This window comes from Homo sapiens, chromosome 10 (assembly GCF_000001405.40).
Source record: "Homo sapiens chromosome 10, GRCh38.p14 Primary Assembly".
Taxonomy (NCBI): Eukaryota; Metazoa; Chordata; class Mammalia; order Primates; family Hominidae; genus Homo; species Homo sapiens.
The window spans coordinates 57,835,448-57,851,659 of NC_000010.11; the positions used below are offsets into that span (position 1 = coordinate 57,835,448).

General features: G+C 39.7%; 1 long non-coding RNA gene across 1 annotated transcript in view; it reads right to left on the minus strand.

Annotated features, from left to right (window-relative positions):
* LOC105378314 (uncharacterized) overlaps window positions 1-11,929 on the minus strand; it is a 147,384-nt gene extending 135,455 nt beyond the window's left edge. Inside the window, exon 1 of the long non-coding RNA XR_001747454.1 lies at window positions 11,845-11,929. This is a non-coding gene — a long non-coding RNA (uncharacterized LOC105378314). The remainder of the gene's footprint in view (window positions 1-11,844) is intronic.
* Window positions 11,930-16,212: the final 4,283 nt, after the last annotated feature.

Consider the following 16,212-nt stretch of genomic DNA (forward strand, 5'->3'; position numbering starts at 1 on the left):
AAAAATAAGTTTATTACCCAATCAGCTGCAGGTATCAGGAGAAAGCTCCAAAAGTGAGCCCTGGGCCCTGAAAAAAATCTGGAGACATTATTAAACCTGGCAACCTTGGTGTTCTATCATAGGGACAAAAAGGAACAGGCCAAAAAGGAAAAGCAATATCAGAGAAAGGCCTCAGCCTTAGTTACGGCCCTCAGACAAACAAACCTTGGTGGCTCAGAGAGGACAGAAAATGGAGCAGGCCAGTCACCCAGTAGGGCTTGTTATCAGTATGGTTTACAAGGACACTTTAAAAAAGATTGTCCAACGAGAAACAAGCCTCCCCCTCATCCATGTCCACTGTGCCAAGGCAATCACTAGAAGGCACACTGCCCCAGAAGGCAAAGGTTTTCTGGGCCAGAATCCCCCAACCAGATGATCCAACAACAGGACTGAGGGTGCCCAGGACAAGCACCAGCTCAATGTCATCACCCTCGCTGAGCACCGGGTATGTTTAACCATTGAGGGCCAGGAAGTGGACTCTTCCTGGACACTGGCACAGCCTTCTCAGTGTTAATCTCCTATCCCAGACGACTGTCCTCAAGGTCCATTACCATCCAAGGAATCCTGGGACAGCCTGTAACCAGGTATTTCTCCCAACTCCTCAGTTGTAATTGGGAGACTTTGCTCTTTTCACATGCCTTTCTTGTTATGCCTGAAAGTCCCACACCCTTATTAGGGAGTGATATATTAGCCTAAGCTGGAGCTATTATCTACATGAATATGGGGAACAAGTTACCCATTTGTTGTCCCCCACTTGAGGAGGGAATCAACCCTGAAGTCTGGGCATTGGAAGGACAATTTGGAAGGGCAAAAAATGCCCACCCAGTCCAAATCAGGCTAAAAGACCCCACCACTTTTCCTTATCAAAGGCAATATCCCTTAAGGCCTGAAGCTCATAAAGGATTACAGGATATTGTTAAACATTTAAAAGCTCAAGACTTAGGAAATGCAGCAGTCCCTGCAACACCCCAATTCTAGGAGTACTAAAAACCAAAGTTAGTGGAGACTAACGCAAGATCTTAGACTCATCAATGAGGCAGTAATTCCTCTATATCCAGTTGTATCCAAACCCTATACCCTGCTCTCTCAAATACCAGAGGAAGCAGAATGGTTCACCATTCTGGACCTCAGGTATGCCTTCTTCTATATTCCCCTGCACTCTGACTCCCAGTTTCTCTTTTCCTTTGAGGATCCCACAGACCACACGTCCCAACTTACATGGACAGTCTTGCCCCAAGGGTTTAGGAATAGCCCTCATCTGCTTTGTCAGGCACTGGCCCAAGATCTAGGCCACTTCTCAGGTCCAGGCACTCTGATCCTTCAATATGTGGATGATTTATTTTGGCTACCAGTTTGGAAGCCTCATGCCAGCAGGCTCCTCTAGATCTCTTGAACTTTCTAGCTAATCAAGGGTAAAAGGCATCTAGGTTGAAGGCCCAGCTTTGCCTACAGAAGTCAAATATCTAGGCCTAATCTTAGCCAGAGGGACCAGGGCCCTCAGCAAGGAATGAATACAGCCTATACTGGCTTATCCTCACCCTAAGACATTAAAACAGTTGCAGGTGTTCCTTGGAATCACTGACTTTTGCCGACTATGGATCCCCAGATACAGCGAGATGGCCAGACTACTCTATACTCTAATCAAGGAGACCCAGAGGGCAAATGCTCATCTAGTAGAATGGGAACCAAGGGAGAAACAGCCTTCAAAACCTTAAAGCTGGCCCTAATACAAGCTCCAGCTTTAAGCCTTCTCACAGGACAAAACTTCTCTTTATACGTCACAGAGAGAGCAGGGATAGCTCTTGGAGTCCTTACTCAGACTCATGAGACAACCCCACAACCAGTGGCACCCCTAAGTAAGGAAATTGATGTAGTAGCAAAAGGCTGGCCTCACTGTTTATGGGTAGTTGTGGCAGTGGCCATCCTAGTGTCAGAGGCTATCAAAATAATACAAGGAAAGTATCTCACTGTCTGGACTACTCACAATGTAAATGGCATACTAGGTGCCAAAGAAAGTTTATGGCTATCAGACAACCGTCTACTTAGATACCAGGTGCTACTCCTTGAAGGACTGGTGCTTCAAATATGTATCTGTGTGGCCCTCAACCCTGCCACTTTTCTCCAAGAGGATGGGGAATCAATTGAGCATGACTGCCAAAAAATTATAGTCCAGACTTATGCTGCCCAAGATGATCTCTTAGAAGTCCCCTTAGCTAATCCTGACCTTAACCTATATACTGATGGAAGTTCATTTGTGGAGAATGGGATAGAAAGGGCAGGTTATGCCATAGTTAGTGATGTAATCGTACTTGAAAGTAAGCCTCATCCCCCAGGGACCAGCACCCTGTTAGCAGAACTTGTGGCACTTACCCGAGCCTTAGAACTGAGAAAAGGAAAAAGAATAAATGTGTATACAGATAGCAAGTATGCTTATCTAATCCTACATGTCTATGCTGCAATATGGAAAGAAAGGGAGTTCCCAACCTCTAGGGGAATACCCATTAAATGCCACAAGAAAATTACGGAGTTATTGCATGCAGTGCAAAAACCCAAGGAGGTGGCAGTCTTCCACTGCCAAAGCCATCAGAAAGATCAAGGAGAAAAGGCAGAAGGAAACTGTTGGGCAGATGCTGAGACCAAAATTGCTGCCAGGTGGAACCTCCCATTAGAAATACCTACGGCAGGACCCTTGGTATGGAACAACCCCCTCCAAGAGATTAAGCCCCAGTATTCCCCAACTGAAACAGAATGGGGACTTTCACGGTGGCATAATTTTCTCCCCTCAGGGTGGTTAATGATAGAAGAAGGAAAAGTACTTATACCTGAAGTCAGCCAGCGGAAAATACTTAAAACCCTCCACCAAATTTTTCATATGGGTATTGAAAACACTCATCAAATGGCCAAATCCCTATTTGCAGGGCCAAATCTCCCCCAGACCATCCAATAGGTAGTCAAATCCTGTGAGGTGTGCCAAAGGAATAATCCCTTGGTCCATCATAAGGCCCCTTTGGGGGAACAAAGAATAGGTCACTATCCCGGAGAGGACTGGCAGTTAGACTTCACCCATATGCCTAAGTCAAAGGGATTTCAATACTTGTTGGTCTGTGTTGATACCTTTACAAATTGGATATAAGTTTTCCCCTGCAAGACAGAGAAGGCTCAGGAAGTGATTAAAGTCCTAATTCATGAAATAATTCCTAGATTTGGGATTCCCCAAAGCTTACAGAGTGACAATGGTCCAGCTTTTAAAGCCACGATAACTCAGGGAATTTCCAGGGCACTAGGGATACAATATCACCTTCACTGCACCTGGAGGCCACAATCCTCAGGGAAGGTTAAGAAGGCAAATGAAACACTCAAGAGGCACTTAAGGAAACTAACACAAGAAATTCATCTCCCACGGCCTACTACTCTTTTGCCCATGGCCTTGTTGAGAATCTGAAATTCTCCTCACAAAATGGGGCTCAGTTCATATGAAATGCTGTATGGATGACCTTTTCTCACAAATGACCTCCTACTTGACCAGGAAATGGCCAACTTGGTCAAAGATATAACTTCTTTGGCAAAATATCAACAAAACCTTAAAAACCTACCTGAAGGATGGCACAGAGAAAAGGGAACAGAGTTGTTTCAACCAGGAGATCTAGTGTTGGTCAAATCTCTCCCCTCTACCTCCCCATCTATGGACTCTTTGTGGGAAGGACCATACTCAGTAATCCTCTCTACCCCCACTGCAGTTAAGGTGGCAGGAGTAGAATCTTGGATTCACCACACCGGAGTTCAATTTTGGACACCCTCTGAGGAACCTGTGGGACTGTCAGCTCAGGAGTCCCAAGATCAGCCAGACCAGCCTCGATACACCTGTGAGCCACTGGAGGACTTGCATCTCCTATTTCAGAAGGAAACATCCCAGACTAAAAAGGCTCCTACCACTGATCCTGAAGAAAACCCCTTCCTCCTTAAAAAAAATAAGTGAAAACCTACATAATCTTTATCTTTAACACCTCTCCTTGCCCCTTTAATGGAATCCTTTTACTATTTCATCATATTATTAAGCAGCATACTAACCATACTCGTTGCGATAGGACTATATACTGTAGCTCCTGCCGGGATGAAAATCCTAATCACATCAACCTTCTTTCTATCTTCTTTCCTTCTGACAGCAATTTACTCCTATCTTTAACTCAGACTGGATAAAATGATTTTGTCTTCCAGAGCACCCTCTTTACCTTCCTATTTACTCTTTGCCTATTTATCCCTCCTGCTTCCTTGGATACCTCATACAATTGCCCCACCCCCCTTCCACTAGCTCCTAATTACCTCCACAAGACTCTGAACTTAACCCACACTCTGTTAAAATAGTCCAATCCTTCCCTGGTAAATGACTGTTGGCTTTGTATCTCTCTATCAACCTCTGCTTACATTGCCACTCCCATTCCCACAAAAAAATTGGGTCTTTACCAACTTAACCTATCACCCTTGTTATGAAGGAAAAGACCCTTTCCAACTTCTAAATATGCAATCATTAGCCAACTTCCCCATCTCTGATAGGACCAAGAATATCCTAACAGGACGTGCAATCCAACTTTTACGTTCTTACATTTCCAACCTCACCTATTACACAAGCAATGAAAAGCCCATACATGGCCCTGTAACTATGAATACCATCTTAACTTTCCAAGCCCCTTTATGCATCCAATGCAACCTATTGTCAGGCCTGCCCCTGGGGCACCTACTACTCCATCAGTATAATTACAACCTACAACTTCAAGCCCCAACAGATCATAGTAACTTCCAAGTCACCCAAACAGCTCCATTCAGCCGGCTTGTCTGCTTCTCAGGTCCTCCAAAAATCATCACCTCCTCCCTGCATAACAAACAGTCCAGGTTTTGTGAGGGCAAACATAATTCCTGCATGACCATTCACCCCTGGGCCCCCTGCAGCAGTGCCCCCACCACTAGTGAATGCCTTCTCATCCCCTCTTTCAATCACTCTCTCAAATTGTTCCTAGTAGATACAGAATGGTTTTCTCTCCACTGGGAAAATAGAACACAGGGAGCCACTCAGTTTGCTCCCAACAGCCCTTTCGAGCCGCTCACTGGAGCTACCTTGGCAAGTACTCTAAGAGTATGGGAAAATGGAAAGAACAAACTCACACACCTCTTTAACATACACAACCAGTTCTGTCTACCCACCAAGGTATATTCTTCTCATGTGAAAGGTCAACCTATGTCTGCCTCCCCACTAACTGGACAGGCACCTGCACCTTAGTCTTTCTAAGTCCCAACATTAACATTGCCCCAGGAAATCAGACCCTATGAGTACCCCTCAAAGTTCAAGTCTGTCAGCTCAGAGCCATACAACTAATACCCCTACTTACAGGGTTAGGAATGGTTCTTGGTACAGGAACCAGAATAGCCAGTTTATCTACTTCATTATCCTACTACCACATACTCTCAAAGGATTTCTCAGACAGTTTGCAAGAAATAACGAAATCTATCCTTACTCTACAATCCCAAATAGACTCTTTGGCAGCAGTGACTCTTCAAAACCACCGAGGCCTAGACCTCCTCACTGCTGAGAAAGGAGGACTCTGCACCTTCTTAGGGGAAGAGTGTTTTTACACTAACCAGTCATGGATAGTATGAGATGCCACCCAGCATTTACAAGAAAAGTCTTCTGAAATCAGACAACGCCTTTCAAACTCTTTTGCCAGCCTCTGGAGTTGGGCGACATGGCTTCTCCCCTTTCTAGGTCCTGTGACAGCTATCTTGCTATTACTCGCCTTCAGGCCCTGTATTTTTAACCTTCTTGTCAAATTTGTTTCCTCTAGGATAGAGGCCATCAAGCTACAGATGGTCTTACAAATGGAACCCCAAATGAGCTCAACTAACAACTTCTACCGAGGACCCCTGGACTGACCTGCTGGCCCTTTCACTGGCCTAAAGAGTTCCCCTCTGGAGAACACTACAACTGCAAGGCCCCTTCTTTGCCCTATCCAGCAGGAAGTAGCTAGAATGGTCATCACCCAAATTCCCAACAGCCATTGGGGTGTCCTGTTTAGAGGGGGGATTGAGAGGTGAAGCCAGCTGGACTTCCTGGGTTGAGTGGGGACTTGGAGAACTTTTCTGTCTAGCTAAAGGATTGTAAACACACCAATCAGCACTCTGTAAAAATGCACCAATCAGCACTCTGTGTCTAGCTAAAGGTTTGTAAATGCACCAATCAGCACTCTGTAAAAATGCACCAATCGTCCTCTGTGTCTAGTTAAAGGTTTGTAAATGCACCAATCAGCACTCTGTAAAACAGACCAATCAACACTGTAAAATGGACCAATCGGCGCTCTGTAAAATGGACCAATCAGCAGGACGTGGGTGGGGACAAATAAGGGAATAAAAGCTGGCCATCCCAGCAAGCAGCGGCAACCTGCTTGGGTCCCCTTCCATGCTGCAGAAGCTTTGTTCTTTTGCTCTTCAAAATAAATCTTGCTGCTGCTCACTCTTTGGGTCCGCACTACCTTTATGAGCTGTAACACTCACTGCGAGGGTCTGCGGCTTCATTCCTGAAGTCAGCAAGACCAAGAACCCACTGGGAGGAACAAACAACTCCGGGCGCGCCACTTTTAAGAGCTGTAACACTCACCGTTCAGGTCTGCAGCTTCATTCTTGAAGTCAGCGAGACCAAGAACCCACCGGAAGGAACCAGTTCTGGACACATAACCATTATTATTATCTTTATTTTGCCAGTAAAAACACTGAGGCAGAGAAAGGTTAAGCAACTTGCCCAAGGTTACATATCTCTTAAGTAGTAGAACTGGAATATGAGCCCAAGGACTAGCTTGAGAACTCTTCCTTTTTAACTCTGTTTTTATCATGCCCATTTTCAGTGCTAAGAACCAAGATTTAAAAGAATTTAAGTATAGTTAGCCCTATGCATCCATGAGTTCCATATCTGCAGATTCAACCAACAGTGGAATGAAAAGGTTTAGGAAAAAAAATTCTACAAACTCCCAAAAAGCAAAACTTGAGTTTGCCATGCACTCAGAGCTATGTAGAATCCACACAAATGAAGTAATGTGTTGGCCTTGTATTAAGTATTATAAGTAATTTAGAGATCATTTAAAGTATATGGGAGGAAGTGCATAGACTATATGCAAATACTATGCCATTTTATATCAGGGACTTGAGCCCCTTTGATTTTGGTATCTGGGGGAGTTCTGGAACCAATCTCCCACAGATACTGAGGGAAGACTGTAATTTGTCTAAGTCACACAGCTAATAAGTAATTGTATTTGTTTCTAGGGCTACCATAAGCAAGTACCACAAACTGAGTGGCTTAAATGACAGAAATTTATTTTCTCACAATTCTGAGGGCTGGAAGTCCAAATTCAGTGTTGGCAGGGTAGGTGTCTCCTGAGGGCTGTGAGGAAAGGATCTGCTCCAGGCCTCTTTCCAGGCCTGTAGATGGTCGTCTTCATGTTCATATGGCATTCTGCTTGAATGCAAGTCTGTCTCCAAATTTCCCCTTTTTATAAAGACACCAGTCATACTGGATGAGGACCCATTCTAATAACCTCATCTTAAACTAATTATCTCTGTAAACACTCTGCCTCCAAATATGGTCCATTGTGAGATATCAGGGATTAGGACTTTAACATATGAATGAATTTAGGGGGACCCAATTCAACCCATAACAGTGATGGATGTAGGACTCAAATCTAAGGATTCTGACAATATAATCAGATTAATAAAAACCCCATTCTTTCAGCAACTCAAATGTAAAGATCACCTACATAAAACCCCAACATCCACAGATGTGCAGTGACCAGTGGCAGAGATGAGCTCAGATCATTGTCATCCAGACTCCCTTAAATGGGGAGTGTGTTCTTTCTGGGACACTATGACATATACATTTAGGACACTAGTTCTCCAAGTGAAGGAAAATGATAGATGGATGAAATGACCATTTCTCTTCTGTTAGCCACAGAACTTTCTTTTGACAGTAAATTCTGAGAACTTATCTAAGCCGTACATCACTTAAATCACATCTCTTAAGTCACTTTATCAATAGTCACAATTCTGAACCTAAGGCAGGTCCCCCAAGAGATGTTGCCACCTGTATAGAAACGCTTAAATTATACTCCAGCCAAAGTCCTGTAAAGACTAAGCGGCTTTAAATTAACCCAAACTCTTTTTCTTAGCATTTCATCATTTCCTTTTGTGCTAATTGACTTATAATCCTAAATTTATATTTTCTCAAATAAAAGAGCTTTGCCATTTTCAGCAGCTAGGAGATGTGATTCTGGGGGCATAAAAAGCAGATGCTTCTTTTATGAAAGAATAGAAAGCTCAGGGCTCCAATGTCTCCCTTAATATCATTTTACACTTATATTGTTCACTTACAACTATTGTTATAGGGGGAAAAATGAATGCTTTCAAATGCTGAGCCAGTATTTTTAAGTCTCTTATTAGCAAGCTTATTCTACAAGATTAGTCTTGGTATTTCACAAAACTTAAAGTAATTATTTAAATTAGGGTCTTAAGCAGGAGATATACTTTGCACGTATATTTTCAACACTGCTCTACTTGTTCATTAGCAAATGTAAAAATAAGACCATGTGTTTTTAATTATGGTATAACAATAATAATAATAATAGATACTCTGAGACTACAAAGCCACATGAGCAAGCTTTTGCTATTATTTTCTGAGAACCTTGCCATACTTCTAGAATTTTTAGAGACCTTGTATACATCTTATCAAGTATACATTTTATCTAGTTCTTAAAGCAACTGTGCAATACACTTTTCATTCTCCCTATTTTACAGATGAAGAGAATGACACCCGAAAGACTAAGTAATATTCTAGGGAATAATATTCAGTGTGGAAATCAACACTTGAAGCCTGATCCCTCTTTCTGGGTTCTCAACCACTGGCTAGAGTGCCAGAGAGACAGATAGTCAGGAAAGGCTAGACTTTGAATTTAGAAGTGAAGAGTTTTACATAGACTTGAGTAGACAAAAGGACTAGGTCCGATCTCAAGGACTTGTGGCTAAAGTAGGAGAGGTCAATTCTGGCAAGTGCTCAGAGTTAAGCATTAACAGAGTCAGGAAGATCACTATGAACAGACCTGCTGAGCTCCAAAACTCAGACAGAAGCTGTTTTTATTTTGCCTGATTAAAGCTGTCTGCAGGTAGTCCTTGATCTGTGGGTACTGATTGTGGTTTAATGAGGATAATGAGGCTTGAAGTGGTTCTTTCCTTTCAGCAAAGACAGAGATATGAGTATTAACCCATGGTATTTCTGGACTAAAACAGGGCGGAGCTAGAGAATTGATTGCAAATTGCTCCAGCACAAATCTCCCCTCGAAGGCTCCTTCTTTCTGAGAACCAATGGCTGGATTAAACTGTTTATTGGTCTTTCCAAACCCAGGAGTCTACATTAAGATTCCAGTCACTGAATGTCTTAAACGTTCTGGCCAATTCAACACTTTTCCTATTTCTTCATTTGTTTGTTTATAGATTTGCTAGAAAAATTTGTGTAAGTACACCTTTCAAAAGTCAGCAGGCAATTCTTGCTAAATAGGATGCATGGTACTTCATAGGCAAAATGATATTTAGGTGATTGTGATATGTCTTATAAATTCATATTTATAATTTATAAATATATTATTTACAAATAATTTATAAATATATTTATGGTATTTATACATTAATGTGTATAAAAAGAGCATTTTCAAATCAAGGCATACTTCTTATATCTTGATTAGTCTCAAATTAGTTAAATACATAACATTTTCTTCCCAGTTCAAAAGATTTACGATGGTTCATTATCCTGAGAGCGCAATGGTCAGTAAGAAGGCTGTTTCTGTGACACCCGCCCCAGCATGGTGTCTACACCTATTTTATTCCTTTTTACAGAGTGCTATTTTCGGCATTCCTGTTAAGATCTATTGCCCTTTTTAATGATAATGAGGTGATGAAGAGGGAAAAGAAAACTATTAAGGATCACTCATCTGTTCTTCAGATTTCAAGTTGGTCATTCAACTGAAAGGTGATTCTGCAACAGACAGAGACATGTTCTTGATGCAGGGTTCTGTTCCAGAGGCAACTGAAGCCTTACTGTCTAATACATATTGGTCTTGAACACTAGACAGCTTCAGACAGCTTCCATTGTCCTTTAGTAATTTAAGGGGCAATCCTGACTCAACAGGTCTAAAGGAAGCATTTCCCCCCAAATAACAAAATAGATAAGCTAGAGTTTCTCATTTGAAGAGGAATCAGGGGGGTTAAGTTGTTTGTTTTTGTTCAAAGGTAGAAGTAAAGAAAACACAACTCAAAGGAAAATACAAAGGGGTTATTCACCATTTGGAGTTAACAGAGTCACATGGATTTTTCTGGTCAAAGCTGCTTTACTTGCACAGAGCAGAGGCCCATGCAAGCCAGCTCAAATATGTCAGATCTAACTGATGTGGCACATAAAGGTAGAATTACACATCACTGGATAAGATCGGAAACAGCTGGAAATTAGTATCATTGAAGCTGCATCTCCATCCCTCTTTGTCTCTGCCTCTCTCTGTGCTTCTGTCTTCTCTTTTTACTCACTTTATTCTTTTTCTGTCTCTTTTTACATCTGGCTTTAGCTCATCAGGATTTCAGTGTTAGCCCTTAACCTACATGATCTTTTATCTCAGTCTTTCAGTCTCCCAATTCCAAATTTCCAAGAAGGAATGTTAATGGATCAATCGGAAACAGATGTTCATGCCTGATCAAGTAGCCCTTGTAGGGATATTGATCACCTAACACAAACCTGACTACCTGGATGGGTCAATTTTGGAACCAAATTGCACTTCCTCACATGTCTGCTATATTGAGAAGTCACCTGCATCAAATTTAAGTCACTGCCTACTTACAAAACTAGGAAATTACTGCCTTATTTGCCATCAACAACAGGGAATATCTCTGCCTTGGATTTCTACTCTGCCACATAGACCAGCAGCCTCTGTTGTACTACTATAGTGGAAAGAGCTACAAACCAAATATAGCAACGTGGGATATTTCATACCCAGACAACCTCCAGGTTGTATGGTCTTGATTAAAAATACTTAACCTCTCTCTGAGCCTATGGCTTGGAAAAAGTGGGGAGAGAGAGAGATACATTAAACTAGATAATCTTCAACATTCTTTCCCAATTAAATGTGTTGTAAACATTGTGTTCAGTTATTTTGATAGAATCAGCACTAAACTCGGGTTGATACATGTCAGAGAAATGACTACCACTTCTCTCTTTATGAGGTTGGCCTATTTCCTAATTAACTTCTCTCCCATCTCACTACATTTCATCCCACAGTGAACATCACTAATATTAGACTGTCTCTAGTGTCCTAAGCATGTCAAGAATGTTCCTCTGTGTCCTTGCTATTGCTGTTCTCTCAGCCAAGAATGCCCTTGACACCATTGCCTGCTATTGAAACACTGCTTATCCTTCAAGACCCAGTGAAAACATCACCCCCTCTCTACAGCATTTCCTGATAAAAATAATTAATTGTCCCTTTTTTTCAGGCACAGGATACTAATGCACCTCTTCAAGCATGGATTTCATTTGGACTTAAAATAAATTTATTCGGTAATTTATTCTATATCACTTTCTAAGTCATAAATGCCTAAAGCACATGGATTATTTCTTGGGCACTTGTGTATCTCCACAAGAGCACCTGGTAATTATTTAGAATAAAGTAGATACTGAATGAATGAATGAATGCATCCTCATTAAATAAAAAAAGCTGAAATCAGAAACCTAGTACTCACGAAAGCATAAAACATTTTGTAGGTCAGGCCCAGTAGCTCACGCCTGTAATCCCAGGACTTTGCGAGGCCAAGGAGGAAGGATTGCTTGAGGAGGAGTTCAAGGCTGCAGCTAGCTATGATCGCACCACTATACTCCAGCCTGGGTGAAACACAGCAATAATCTGACTCAGAAATTTTTTTTTTTTTTTTTTACATACAACACTTTGGAAATTTCTTCATGATGCAATGAGGTAACAGAATGCCAAGATTATTTTTATAAATACTTTGGTTACTCAAACTTATCTGTATTTTATAATACTGATAGTATAATCATGGCTACCAATCCAAGTAAGCAGGTCAACAGGAAATCAGTAAAATAATCTTTTTCTCCACTTTTATAATATGGTATTGTATTCAAATAGCTAAATGTTAGAAATTAATTTCCTTTGCTCATTGCCGTGTATCATCACAAACTGCAATGAAAATTTTAAGTGTTCTATACTCAAAGTCCTCTAAAATGCAAATATTTTATCTATTCTGCCTTTTATGCCTGCTCTTTAACCATGAGTACTGAACCTTGCTGAATTTCTGACATTATCCTCAACATCAGTTTAACTAGTTGCTCTAGTTTCATCTTGTAAAAATGTGGCAAGGTCAGCATGCTTGAATGTAACACTGTCAACCCCTGCTGACTTGAACTCCATGACTGCATATAGTTAGTTCCATAAAGACAAGTTATATTCTTCTTTTGGGTATTGCTAAATTGCATGAATATATGTCTACAGATCTTGGGCTGCAGTGAAGAAACTCTTCTGAGGCATGTTTAGAAAATACCAACACTTCAGTACATAGGTTTGTAATCAAACCTTTATTCTGTGGTGCCGTGGCCCTAGGGCTGCTTGACTTTAAAAATGAATGAGCCAAAGATGATGAGAGACTACAGCTGGGAGACTCTACCACAGACATTAGAAACACAAATTCTGTTATGTAAAAGAAACAAATCATTGGGCACCAACATATTCTAAAGAAAAACTCCTTATTATTCACCTGCCTCTGCATTCATTGTACACTCACTAAGACTGGCTTCCAGCTATTAATTTTACAATAATAGGAAGGTTTATCTGAATGAGGGAATTGAATATTCCAGTTAATGGTAAAGAATATTACTTTTAAATTAATGCATCTACCTTAATTTATTCCTCAGTCTTCCATGAGTTAAAATGAATAAGTTGTTCTTAATCCAGGCAACAGAAAGTGCCTTGACAAAGATATAATTGCAGACATGCAAATTAAGTATCACATGCTGAACCTTGGGAAAAAATGTATGAAAATGTTGCCAAGCACTGAGACCGCCCAACAATCTCTATTGGTAAAGCAAACTCATCATTACCCTCTTTGTCACAACTGCATAGCTTATTCAATTTTCATAAACTGAACCTACCTATTTAACCAGCATACAGATCAATATATAGCATTTAGCAACTAATACACCCCCTTCCAGTCAATAACCCCCTGATAAGGGTTTATCTTACTATTACATAGTTTTGCCTGGTTTTGATGCTTACACCAACAAAATTGTATAGTGCCTTATCTCTTTTGTGTTTGACTTGTTTCACTCAACATTATATTTGTAAGATTCATCCAGACAGTTGTCTGTAGTTGTTCATTCTTATTACTGTATAGTAGTATTTCATTCTATACTATATCACAATGTATTAACCAATTGTCCTGTTGATATACTTTCAGATAGTTTCTGATTTGGAACTAATACAAATAGTGCTATCAGCTTGTTTTAAGATATATTTTTAGAAGTAGAGTGGCTATGTATGCGTGTGATCAGCTTTAGTAGTATTGCCAAAAACTGGTCTTTCGAGGAGTTGTACTAGCTTCCCTTTTACAAGCAATGTGAGTTATAATTACTACCTATCTCCAGCAGTGCTTTATTATCCTCTTTTAATCTACAATAAATAGTATGTCCCTTTGTGTTTACCTAGTAAATTGATCTCCTACAAATATTTTTAAATAAAAATGTTATCAACTAAGTACACAATATGTTGCATCAAATATTGTATTAAATTGCCATTGCTATATGAGCTTTTATGATGTATTACAGCAAATGATACAGAGATTTGGGTAAAAATTTGTATTCTAACCAATCACTGGCAAACAGCATGTTACAACAATAATTTCCTGGCAATTAGAGCCTTAACACAAAGTGGAAAATTTAGGAACTTACTTCATTTCTTTAAAACAAAAGAGAGAAATAATTTTTACCACACTTTAAAATATGAAACTCACTTATTCTAAAAGAAGTTCAGGAACTTTGATTAGAAAATTTAAAAGTCCCTAATGAGAATTCCTTTCCAGCTTGACAGTGATTAAAAGAATATCATCATTCAGAACATAGCTGTCCATGAATCAAAAATTCTTGTCTCTGAGAAAGAATGTTGAAGCCAATTATGCAAATGTGCAGAAGGGAGAAAGACAAGATTTCAAACCTCTTAATATGACCAAAGAGCACATTTTCAAACCAAACTCAGCTTTTAGGTTTTTATTCTATAAATCTGTAAATCTTAAAAACAAAGATAAAACAAAAAATACATACACACCAATTTTCTGATGTTAATCTAAGACAACTGTGACCCCTACTGTCCACATGTGTTTGCACATTTAAATTCTCAAGGCAAATTTCAGCATTGTTACCGAATATTCTTTGAGATTCTGATTTAAAAGGACACTAGACTAACAGCCAATGCAAGATCTAAAAATATGCCTCTAATTCTTAAGAAAGGGACAATTCAGCAAAATTTAAAGGAAGTGTATATATGTCAGCATGTAATATCTCTACTTTTCCTCCAATCTTTCTCCTTCAGACTAGCCATGAGCATTGCACCTGTCCCTCTCATGCCCTCATTTGTGTACAGCTAACATTTTAATATGAAAAGAAGGTCTTGATATATTCAGTTTAAAGGGATATATTGAGAAAGGTTGTCTCCCACAGCAACTGCAACCCCTATTTTGATTGGTTGTTAAGGTTTCTTAGTTCAAACTCAGGAGTTAATACAAGTTTTTCCATGTACAGAAAGGTGCACTTACAGGTAGATTAAGTATATTAGTAAGTTCGCCAGATACCTGGGTGGGACTTTTATGTAACATTCAGTGAGAAAGGTGAACTGGACATCTCATCACACCAAAGCAATATTTATTTCCATGTGCAGTTTGAGATGAAGGGTGTAGAAAAATGGAATTGATATTTAGTGAGCATCTTCTATTTAATAGTCACCATGCTAAGGTTTTTATACTTATTTTCTTAAGTTAATATTTGGAGCTTCATGAGCTATTGATTATTATGTCAACTTCAGAAAATCTGAGTGATTGCCCAAGGTTACATGAGGATTAAGTGGAAGAGCCAGGATTCAAACCCAAGTCTACCTGGTTCCAAAGCATAGGCTCTCACATTAAATGATTCTGCCCTTCACATCCTATTATATTTAGGATTCAGAAAACAGCACAGAAAAACAGAGTGAAAAAAACAATTTCTTCAAAGATCAATAGAACATGTTTTCCTAACTCTATGAATTAAAGTCAATAAATACTTATTTATTGCTACTATGTAGCTAAAATATTGCCTTATTCTAAAGAGAAATCAAAGGACCTTTTAACATCAAAAGTACATGTAAAGAACAAACGTAGGTAAGTCCCAAAGGACTTAGACAAAAATAGATAAGTCCCAAAGAGGGAAAATACTTAATAAACACTTGAAAACATGTTCAGGCCTTATCATTAAAAGATATACATTAAAATAATAAGGGGATAACAGTTTTCATTTTTCACATTGGCTAAAATTAATATTTTACCCTAGTAAGTATTTGTGAGGATATACAATATGGAAATTGATTGTGCTTTATGTGGCTGTGGGACTCTACGGTAGTTTAACCTGCTGGGTGTCCTGTCTCATGCCTGTAATCCCACCACTTTGGGAGGCTGAGGCAGGAGGATCACTTGAGGCCAGGAGTTTGAGGCTACAGTGAGCTATGATCCTATTACTGCATCCAGCCTGGGTGACAGAGTGAGACAACTTTTAAAAAAAAATTAAATAAAAATAAATAAATAAATAAAATGGTTCAACCTGTTATAAGTTGGGGGTCAGTTTAGTAAAGTCTAATAAAATTGAAGAGGAACATATCCCATGATCCAGCAGTTTTATTTCTGATAACATAGCCTTAGAGAAATATAGCACCTTGTGCAGGATATATATATATATATAGATAGATAGATAGATAGATAGATAGATAGATAGATAGATAGATATAGATATATAGATATAGATATAGATATATTCTCTATATATATTCTATATCTATATTCTCTATATATATATTCTATATA